Genomic DNA, 12,282 nt, shown 5'->3' with positions numbered 1-12,282 from the left:
CTTTTGGGATTACCTTAGTAATTTATGCATTTCAAAAATGATTGTTTTGGTGGGTATATGTGCCAAGACAAGCTAGTTTTTTACTAAATATTTCCTATTTTTTAATATTTTAAATATACTTCATCACCATACCTAATATTTTTGTATTTTTATTACAAACTACAAATATGCATTGCTTGTATTTTAATTTAAAATTTAAATTTGTTAAACAAATGTATATACATACATTTTAGTCCAAAAATTTCACATGGCTACTCCATTCGCCATGCAAATTTGTATGTCCAGACAATTTCTTCCAACATATTTAAATAATATATTTAATAACTTTTTTGAGTTCGCTACAGAGTTTGACAGATAGAAAATCAACTATTTGGGGGCTAAGGTAAAATTTAGTTATCTTACTATTGCACCCAATGGACTCACATACACACACACATAATATTTTTTCCTATTCATCTAATATAGATTTTTTTTTTACCTTAACCTCCATCATGGTTATATAAGTCCTTAGATTTTTTAAACTTTTATTGTACTCTATTCTTTAAAAAGGTACAATATGCTACAGGTTTGTTATACTTCAATAACAGGGAAATGAATTAATTAAATTAATTGGGTGAATACATTAAATGACTTACTTTTAGTGAATCTATTCCTTTTCTTCACAATTGGCTGCAAAAGTCCAGTCGTTTAATAACAATTGCTACCCACACCCTTAACCCATCACAGCCTGAGAATCATGGGACACACTGTGTGGGAGGGAGCCGTGGAAAGCCAGGATGAATGGGGACAGCATGTGAGGGCCTGGTCAGGCACCTGCACCTCGTGTCACTGGCTTCTGGGAGCACAGAATCAGGCTGGGCACAGAGGCCTCTTCTCCACCCAGGCACCAGCAGGGGAGCTCCATCCAAAGGAAGCCAGAGCTCCCCGCCAGGCTAGCCAAGGAGCATGAGGGGCCAGGCCTGGCTGGAGGAAGGAAGAGGAGAAAAGAAGCGACTCTGATCTGTCACCACACTTCGGTGCTCTGGCCTGCCTCTGCCACATCCGGCTGCTGGGGAGCTGGCCTCGGCCCTCTGAGGGGCCACTGGCACTCAAATCGGCCTTGATTTTTCGGCCTTCTCAGATCTCACTGCCTCATCATGGGCTTTCTGCTACTCTGGTAGCTTTTTGGCCTCTTGGCTTTTTCGCCTTTTGTCAAACATGATCTTCTGGTACAGGTACTTCTCCGGCTTCTTCATCATCATAGTGGCCAGGCGCCTGGCCTCGCTCTCCTCCTCCTGGGCCAGCTGCTGCTGCTTCTCCAGCTTCTCGTGTCCTGCTATCACCCTGGGCTTCTTCCCCTCCGTTCTCTGCTCCTCCGGTGCTGCCAGCCAGGCCTTTTCCTCCGTTTCCGAACCACTCTCCCCTTCATTTTCTCCCCCTTCATCACCATCACCTTGGTTGTCTTCCTCCTCCTCCTCTTCTGACTCATTCAAGTTTCCTGGGTCCTCTCCCCGCTGCAGAGCCAGAAGCTTCAGCTTCTCAGATGGGATGTAATCTCCTTCCTCCTCAGTCACAAAGGGTGAAGAATGTAGGGGTAGCTGCATTGCAGGGAAGTACTCTGCTCCAGGGAAGTGCAGTCTAGCGTTCACGGAGTCAAACAACCACTGGGGCTCCACGTAGTGTCTGCCAATAACTGAGGTCTGCTGCCCAGGCCAGTCGACAATCTGGTGGGTGCTGCATAGGTGGGACCCATGCACAAAGGCTTTTCCCAGGATATGTCCCCCCCCGCAAAACTCCTGATGACGAAGGCTAGGGCTTCAGGGGACACCTGTCAGTTAACGAAGAACTTCAAGCCCTCAAAAAGCTTCTTGTGCTTCTCCTGCGCCTCCAGCTCCTTCCTGTGGTCCTCCTCCTGCACCGCCAACTCCCCATTGGCGGGAAACTCATCCACCTCGGCCTCTTCCTCTGTGATAGGCACCACCGCGCGGGCCAGGCTGGCACTGAGGGCCTCCAGTTTCTCCACTGGGCTCTCTGAGTCCAGCGCGTAGGTGCCCTCACTGGCTTTCCCCTCTGCTTGGGCCTGACCCTCAGCTTGAGGGGATAGTGAACGTTGAGCGACTGGCAGAGGCTGAAGTTCATCAATGAAGCCCAGTAGGGTGCTGTAGAATTAGGTGAAGGTGGCCATGACTCTGTAGTCCACGTCTGTCCGGTGGTCGTGGGAGAAAGCACAGGGGGTGATCCACACGATGGGCTGTGCCAGCACCTCAGCCTGGTAGTAAATGCGTTTGATGGACAGGAAGACCTTGCTCGGGGCACAGGCAGCGATGATGTAATACGTGAACTCCGCTGCGAGCCTGCAGCACAGCGGAACGATCTGCACATGGCACTTGTCAGTCCGGGGGAAGGTGGAAAAGAGGAAGCACGTGGAGAAGGCGGAGCCGCCCAGGTCCCCCCGGGCGTCGATGAATGTGGGGTACCATTCCTTGATGATGTGGTCATGTTTGTAGTCGGCCTTATTGTCCTTTAGATGTTCCACGGTGTTCCGCTCGCTCTTCTCATAGGCCTCCCGGGGCTTCCGGACAGACACCTTGCATTCTCGGACCTTGTTGACGATGAATTCTTGGATGAGAAACCTGATATCTTCCATGAGGTAAGAAGTTTGGGCCGCAGTAGCACCTTTATTAACCTTCTTCTCGTGTTTGGGTTCATGGGGATAAATGCCCATCAGGGTGCACGGCCGCCTCGAGTCAGCCATGGTCAGGGGGAGCTTCTTTCGGGCTTTGCTTTTGGTGTTGTGGTTGGCTGGCGAGCCTCGTTCCTGCTGCTGCTTCTCAAGGCCTCCTGTAGCTCCATGTTGAGGAGCCCACGAGTGCCGCGGACTGACAGTGCCACTTCCTCCGCGAACTGACAGTGCCACTTCCTCCGCGAGTCTGTATTTGTCCTCTGGTAAAAATCTTTTACTCTCTAAATATAAACCAAACTTTATATTAATTAATTTCGTAACATTCAGTCTTCAGTTTTAACATTTAAATATATATTTCAACTTCGGGGATAAAAATGTATTACAAAAAATGTTTACATTGCCTTTTAATGACCTATAGGCTACTCTATTATGGTTCAAGTAACTATTACTTTATTGAAAAAAATTATTTAATGGTCTCATTCCTATAAAGTTCAAACAACGTGTTATTCAGTATCATGGTCTTTCTGAAACTGCAAGCAGTTTTTGTTTTTGTTTTTGTTTTCTATCCCACTGGGCACATAAAGAGATAACTAAACAGCCATAGGACAGTACAGAACAAATGTGGGCAAAAGTCAAATCTACAAATGATGAACTCTTCCCTTTATATCCAACCCAATAGGTGAGCACCTTTAACTTATTTTTAGAACAATTATTTCGCAAATACAAAAGCAAAAACAATGCATATACTGAAACACAAACAAGAAAATAATATATAGCATGCAATAATTAGAAAGTTCCCTTCAGACATCTCATTTGCCATGTAATGTTTACCTTTTAGACCATTTAAATTGCATTCACACGATTTCTGCACACATATGCTCATATATTTTATTTTGCAACTTTCTCTTTTTTGTTAAGCAAAATGCCATTGATATATTTCCAGGTCAGTACTACCCATCTACCTTGCTGTGTATAATGGTTCCAGAGTATTTCTTACTATGACCAGAGCATACTTTATTGAATCATTTCTCTACTTATAAATATTTATTTCCTATACCAAACATTCAGGATTTTTTTATACAGTATTAACTAGAAAAATTTATATGGTCAAATTCTTAAACATTTCTCAAATCCTATGTAGGATTCCCTTATTCTCATTTATGCTTTCAATGTTTCTTCTGAATTTCTCCATTAAAACATCTCTCACTTCAATTCAATGATATATTTATAAGTTTATATGCTACTCTATTGAATGAGTTGTTTTTTGGCAACTGAGTTTCCAAAACACTATCTACTCTCAGGAAATTTATTTTGAGTTCAAGGGTAAATGAATAAATGAATTTCTCATTGCCAAGTTACTTTTGTTCAGTTGTCAAATTATTTTATTCATTTTCTTAGTTAAGGCTGTCAAAATTAACCATTGCTATCTTATTTTTACTTTTTCCTTTATGCATAGCCTGGTAATTTTCTCCTCTGTGTTTTTGAAATTCATTTATTCGTTCAGAACCAATTGGACTAGAAGCTGGAGAAAGCAGGCTAGGGTCAGAACTGCAAACTCTCTGTCCTCATAATCTTAAGTGTAAGAGATGAGAGACAAATAAAAACATAGGTATGTATGTGTAAATGTCCATATATTTTAAGAAGAAAAATTGGAGCATTATAGTAACCTATAACAAGGAGACATAATTTGTCAGTTACCATATTGTGCAAAACCTTGTATGTAAAAATTTGGGGGTGTTATGCTAATAGCATTGAGATCAGTTTAACGTTTTTATACACTGAGGGGACATGTTCGGGTTGTCATTTTGGAAATATAACTCCAGCTGTAATATATAAAAGAAGCTGAAAAGGGTAAAAACAAATGTAGGAATGTAGGAGGATGTTGCATCAATACAGAAAAAAAATGGGATGATAGTTTGGATATAAGTAGTAAGAATGGAGATGGAGAGAAGTTCTTAAATACATTGGTAATATTGGCAGGACTTGTTATGAGACTAAATATGGGGCTATCAAGGAAAGAGAATTTGGCAAGGATTGCCTGCAACTTTTTAAATTTTGGCTTTAATATCTGAATAGATGACAGAACAAAGATTGGTTTGATTGAAAAGATAATGAGCCCAGATATGTAGTTGGGTTTTGGGTTCCTTTAAGGAATCCAAGTTGTAGATACTTAATAAGTAGTCGTATACACTGATCTCAAATTAAGTAGGTTTTCATATGCATGAGAGGAGTTTGAAAACTCTAGCTTCAAGAAATAGCAAAAATTGAAATATACAACAATAATTAATGGAGAAGGATTAGCAGTGTGAACAAAATTATCCATACAATTGTGAAACTATGGTTCCTTCTAAAACTTTCCACAGATAAGTAATTATCAAAAAGTCTATATAAAAACAATTAGAGAATGTTAAAGTACTATTTTAGCATGTCTGAATTTTTGACAAAGAAAATTAAAATATAAAGTTTTGGTGTTTATTTTTATTTGCTGTGTTTTTAAAATAAGCTTTAGCCCACCTTATGGAGTTCCTTCTTTGGTATTTTGCATTTCATAAATATGACTTTATGACAACAAAAATAACCTTCAATTCATGGTACATTGATGCAAAGGAAGAAAGGTGAGGGGACAATATTACATAACTTGATTTAGAAATGCATGGATGATTTCATTTTTATTTTGACTTTTATTTGAAAACTGAACCCAGATAAGGCCATATTTACTCTACTCCATATAGAGTAGTTCAAAGATAGGATTTCTCAAAGCAGAGCTTTGATGCTTACTCAGAATCAGTGGAAAGACATTTTATTCAAAAGTCGAAAGTGTGCTTTCACTTCTGTTATTTATGACTGCTGTCTCACAGTGTCATCACCCTCCATGAAGCATTATATCCCTCTGACTTGTTGCAGGGTAATAATGCAAAAATATATGTAATAAAAACTGCCACATAGTTTCCCAAAAAGTACAAAAAATACTAGCTTTTTACATTGTATAATTTTCCACACATACAGTTTCCATTCAAATTGCTGGTCAAGTTTCAATAATTTGTTCAAATTTAAGCTTAATGCTCCCTGGGACGTCTACTAATCTTTAATAAAAGAACAAGGTAATTGGTTCATTTACAGTTTTATTCATTTAGATTTCATCAAGAATATTTTAGTAAGAACTGTATTTTATTTGAAGAAAAAGTATTTTTCTTCTTAATAGGTGATTTCACTTTAAATTTTAAATAGGAAATACAATTGACCCTTCTTCAAAGGAATGGAATTTGTATTTAAAAATCTGAGTCTCCTTTTGAAAAGAGAGCATTATGTTTTTTCCTAAAGTGTTAAGCACACAGACACACATTTTATATATTTATATATATACACACGTTTTATATATTTACATATACACACATTTTATATATTTATGTATATACACACACCTATTTTATATATTTATATATGAGATTTTTTACATTTATATATATTTATATGTGTGTGTGTGTGCATCTGTGTGTGTATTGTATGAGGTTAGAGAGAGAACAGACTTCAGCTAACATCCTTAATGCTCTGATATACAAGTTGAAGATTTGATCAAAGTATCAGTTATTTGAATTTTTAAAATACACACTGGAGATTCGTAACTGAAATTCTAATGCTGAATATGTTAAGGATAATGGACAGTAAAATAAAAGGAACAATGCATTCTTGGAATAAAGAAAGGATAAAGAGTCAATCATTTTTCTTTTAAGCCTCTCTGGTTGTCTAAAATTGACACAGAGAATTCACTCTTCTTGAAGAGGACTCTGAATGTGAATGATTAGCATTACAGGAAAACCTAAAAGCAAGAGCAGGCCCCGACCACAGCATTACTGATTTGCATTCTACCTAAAATTATACTCTGATAGCTGTTCAGACTCCCGTCCTGTGCTGCAAAGTTTCCTCAAGTATTTGTCCTGCTCCTCTTAATACCTATAAAATACATCTCAATAGATATTTTAAGCTGACCTCTGTTATGTTTATGACAAAATATACAGAACAGCAAATAATTTGAAGAACTCAAGGAGAAAAGAACCCCTAACACTTCAGCAGTACAGAAAATAACCAGAATCTATCTCATCATATATTCATCCAGTCACTAATTTAACACCTGTTACATGTCAGGCTATATCCTTGGGATATATTGGTGAGCTAAATACATTGGTGAGCTAAACAACAGTTTGTACATATGTGAAACTTAAATTCTAGCATGGCATAGAAAACATTTCATGTTCTGATATTTTCTGTTTGTACTAAAATATATAGGTAAAGCAAATATTATAATAAGCACCATAGTGACCATGATACTTTGTCTTCAGTTGGCCACATTTAAGAGCATCTTTCTGTATTTGGGCATCATTCAGAGTTCATCAATATCAAGTGACTGCTGTCACAACTAAAGAAAAACTATGCACATTTGAAGACAGATGTAGTGAATGTCTGTATATTGCTTTAAAATCCATGCACCAGACTCCCATATTATCCAATAATGGCAATTTTGGACTCTTTTTGCAATGACTTTATAAATCCTTGCTTTAGGTATATTTGTTTTTTGGGGGGTGGGGGTTGTTTGTTTCGTTTTAGGCTGTCATCTCTGTTCACAGTCTAACACAGTGTTTTGTAGGATAACATTGAAGACATATTGTATGGTCCAGGGTGTGGAAGGAATAAATATTTGACTGTATATATTCTTACTTTATTCCTGAAACTTGTGGAAAGCAACAGGAAAGAGGAAATCATGAAGCCAGAAATCTTTAAAAATCACTATTTACAATGTCAATAAAATACAGCATGATTCCCTGTGCTTTTGTTATGTTGTAGGAAAAGATGTTTAAGAAGACATAAATTTATTTGAACTGCTGAGATTTTCTGACAATTTTTATCTCTTTTACCTTCCAAGTGTAAACAAGATAAAAGAAATATTATGCTTGCATTACTGTAGCATTGGCAGGGATAGGTTTTATGAATGTTATTGCAACTAAAGTTTTTGGTCATTGCAAGCAAATTGATCAAGTTCAACATTTCGAATTTTGCAAACCAAAGAAGCAAGAGTTACTTTCTCATCCTGCCATCTTTCTACTTAATTATAGAGGCAATAAAGTAACTTCATTTATCTGGTGATGATAAACTAATTTATATGATAAACACCCAATGCCTATTATGTGGCAATAATGATGATTACCTGCAAATGTTTCTTATAAACAGTTGCATAGAGCTTAGAAGGCTTCTATTCTTAAATTATTTTTGTCTCATGTGAACCATATTTCTCATATGAACCGTATTCATTGGAACAAAAAAACTCAACTCTTTTGGAAGAGCTCTGACATTTGGTGTGATTCTTTAACATACTGTTTGCGAGGACCCAATGGAATTAATGAGAGTGATGGAATTTCAGTCCACAGATTTGATTGAGTGAATGATAATAGAATTTAGGAATGGAACACAATGGGGACAATGTTGAAAATAGGTTATCTGAAAACAGATGTACACATTTTGGAGTCAATATTCTTGCATTATCTCTTTTATTATTATACTTTAAGTTCTGGGGTACATGTGCAGAATGTGCAGTTTTGTTACATAGGTATACACGTGCCATGGTGGTTTGCTGCACCCATCAACCCATCACCTACATTAGGTATTTCTCCTAAAGTTATCCCTCCCCTAGTCCCCCAACCCCTTGACAGGCCCCAGTGTGCGATAGTCCCCTCCCTATGTCCATGTGTTCTCATTGTTCAACTCCCTCTTATGAGTGACAACATGCGGTGTTTGGTTTTCTGTTCTTGTGGTAGTTTGCTGAGAATGATGATTTCCAGCTTCATCCATGTCCCTGCAAAGGACATGAACTCATCCTTTTTTATGGCTGCATAGTATTCCACAGTGTATATGTGCCACATTTTCTTAACCCAGTCTATTATTGATGAACATTTGGGTTGGTTCCAAGTCTTTGCTATTGGGAATAGTGCTGCAATAAACATACATGTGCATGCATCTTTATAGTAGAATGATTTATAATCTTTTGGGTATAAACCTTCTCAGAGGAATAATGTAACTCACTCATTTAGTCTCTAAGAATATTTTTTCCTAATTTTTCACTTTAACTTGTTTTTCTCTCCAGTTTTAAGGGCTTCTCAATATTTTAGTTATACTTGATAGAGCCTGATAAAGGAGTGGAGTATCTTCTATTGGACAACTCTCTCTATAGGAGTAACTGCCAAAAAAATTTAGTGGCTAAAAATTTGACTTTATGATTCTGTAGGTAGATAATTTGGGCTGGATTTACTAGGCAGTTCTGATTTGAACCAGACATGGATTATCTCATCCTCATGCATCTGCAGTTAAATGGTGGGCCAGCTGTGACTGGTTGGTTATGATGGGTGGGACATCTGGGACCAACTTGCTCTTCTCTCTATGTGTTCTTTTATCCTACATTAGCCTTGCCTAAACTCATTCCCATGGTAGCCCTAGAGTTCCAAAGCCTCATTGTGCCAGCACTTTAAATATCCACTTGCATCAGGTTTTCTACTGTTCCACTGGCCTAAGCAAGTCATAAGCCTTGCCACCTTTCAAGAGATTTTAACGTAAACTTGACCTCTTGATAACTGGAGCTGCAGAGCATTTATCTTTTTTTGCCCCAATCTACCGTATTCCCTTTGAATAAAGCCACTAGGAATTTAATATTTAAGTCTCAGCAGTTCCTGTATTGAAGTGGTCACTTGAGGATAGGAGGGGCACTGAATTCTTCAATGTATATGTCAACATATTGACGTAAGACACAGGTTTCAGCATGGGCAGAGTTCTAAGGAATAAGGAAGTTCTAAGGAATTAGGGAAATTCAAATATTTTTATACTGTACTAGTAAAGGAAGTAAGATTAGGGTTTGTTCATAGAAAATGCTGCTGGGTCCATGAATAAGTAATGAGTATCTAGAAAGGCCAGCCCATGGGTGACTCAACAGATATCCTAAGAGGACTCTCAAAGGTTTCTAAGCAAATAGCTGCTGAGGTTTGCACTTTGGAAAGATCATTCTGGATGCATCATTTGGTAGTAATCAAGACTGAAATCCAGTAGACATTTAGTTGACTGTTATTTGAGTAAGATTCTGTTGTAGGTGCTGTTTGTTCTCCACTGGATCTCCTGTTAGCAGGATGACGTGCTTATCCCCCAGCTATTGTAAGTGCTGCCTGCTAATGGCTCACAGCTACCCCAGTTCCTAGATAATTGCTCCAGCTAGCAGAAGCCAACTTTGTTGGAATGTTATGTACACACCTGCTCATACTGAGGCAGTGTCCATTCATGAACTATTGATACAGGGGCAACTTTCCCTCAAAGGGGCAAAACACAACAGTAAGATTTCTATTTCAGAGGCCTCATCCTCCAATGTGGACTCAGCCCAGGGTATACTTTACCAGGATTAATAGTCTTGCTTGACCCTTCCCTTTTCCTTTCACTCACTTCAGACTATATTTTTTTTTATTAAAAGCTATCCTTCAGTATATAACTACTTCCCAAATCTCTGTCTCAGCCTCTGCTTTTAGATATCCTAATCTAAGATACATGTTATTACTTCCTGAAGTAAGCAACATGCATATTTTTTATCATCAAACAGAATATACAGCATATGAGCACAGAGCCCTTTCTCAGACCTTCTCTTGGGTTCTCTCTTGGTTTGATGCTGTGAAGAGTCCTCATAAAGCACTACTTATCTGACTCACTGAGCACATGTTCTGTGATGGGGTCATCAATTTTTTTTTTCTGTAAAGGTCAAGTAGTATATGTTTTTGGCTTTGTAGACCGTAAAATCTTAGTCACAGCTACACAACTCTGCTATTTTTGTGTGAAGAGAGCCTTAGATAATACATATAGAAAACGACGAATGGTGTAAATAAATAGTGGCTATAGAATTATTCCTTACACTATTGTTTCTTTTTCTTACTTGAATTTCTATGACACCACCCTCACAAACAGGTAGCATGTATCCCATTCATATTGCTGATACAACATTAAAATTTATGAATAGTTTAATTTATATGTGATATTACAACTGCACAAAGAATGCTTATTTTTCTCTGCTCCATTTGATTGTAGGGAATGCAGACATACCTCATTTTATTGCCCTATGAAGATATTGTTTTTTTCACAAATTGAAGATTTGTGACAAACTTGTGTCAAGCAAGTCTATTGGCATCATTTTTTTCAACTGTATATGTTCACTGTGTATCTCTGTATAACATTTTAGTAATTCTTGGAATGTTTCAAAAGTTTTTATTATATCTGCTATGATGATCTTCGATCAGTGATCTTTGATGTTACTATTGTAATTGTTTTGGAAAGCCACAAACTATGCCCATATAAGACAGGAAAAATAATCGATAAATGTTACATGTGTTCTGACTGCTCCACTGATCAGATGTTCTCCCCATCTCTCTCACTCTTCTCAGACATCTGTATTCCCGGAGTCACAACAGCATTGAAATTAAACCAATTAATAACCCTACAATGGCCTCTAAGCGTTAAAGTGAAAGGCAGAGTCTCATGTCTCTCACTTTAATTCAAAAGCTAGAAATGATTAAGCTTAGTGAGGAAGGCATGTTGAAAGCCAAGACAGACCAAAAGGTAGGCCTCCTGCACCAAACAGTTATCCATGTTGTAAATGAAAAGGGAAAGCTCATGAGGGAAATTAAAAGTGCTACTCCAGTGAACACACAAATGATAACAAAGTGAAATAACCTTATTGCTGATATGAAGAAAGTTTTAGTGTTAAATTCTTAAGCCAAGTCGTAAACCAGAGCAAAACCCTAACTCTCTTAAAATCTATGAAAATTTAGAGAGGTGTGGGAACTGCAGAAGAAAAGTTGGAAGCTAGGAGAGGTTGGTTCATGAGTTTAAGGAAATCATCTCTATAACAAAAAAGTGCAGGTGAAGCAGCAAATGCTGATGTAGAAGCTGTATCAAGTTATTCAGAAAACATACCTAAGATAATTAATGAAGGTGGATACACTTATCCACAAATTTTCAATGTGAATGTAACAGCCTTATAGTGGAAGAAGATGTCATTGAGGACTTTCATAGCTAGAGAGGAAAAGTCAGTGTATGTCTTCAAAGTTTCCAGGGACAGGTTGACTCTTTTCTTACAGGTTACTACAGCTGTTGACTTTAAGTTGAAACCAATATTCATTTACCATTCTGAAAATCTTAGGGCCCTTAAGAATCATGTTAAATCTACCCTGTGCTCTAGAAATGGATTAACAAAACCTGAAAGACAGCACATGTATTAAATCCAATGTCAAGACCTACTGCTCAGAAAAAAGATTTCTTCCAAAATATTACTGCTAACCAACACTGCATCTGGTCATCCAAGAGCTCTGGTGGGGATGTATAAGAAGATACATATATGATTTCATGCTTTCTAACACAACACCAATCCTTCAGTCCATGTATTAAGCCATAATTTTGATTTTCAACTCCTATTATTCAAGAAATGCCCTTTATTCAGGTTATCCCTGCCATAGAGAGTGATTCTTCTGATGGATCTGGGAAGAGTAAATTGAAAACCTACAGAAAAAGATTCACCATTATAGAAGCCATTAGGAGCATTCATGATT

The 12,282-nt window shown here is 37.8% G+C and overlaps 1 pseudogene; it reads right to left on the bottom strand.

Annotated features, from left to right (window-relative positions):
• On the bottom strand, positions 897-2,894 carry PES1P1 (pescadillo ribosomal biogenesis factor 1 pseudogene 1; annotated as a pseudogene).

The sequence above is a fragment of the Homo sapiens genome, chromosome 4 (genome assembly GCF_000001405.40).
Source record: "Homo sapiens chromosome 4, GRCh38.p14 Primary Assembly".
Classification (NCBI taxonomy): domain Eukaryota; kingdom Metazoa; phylum Chordata; class Mammalia; order Primates; family Hominidae; genus Homo; species Homo sapiens.
This window is presented reverse-complemented; position numbering and strand designations above follow the sequence as displayed.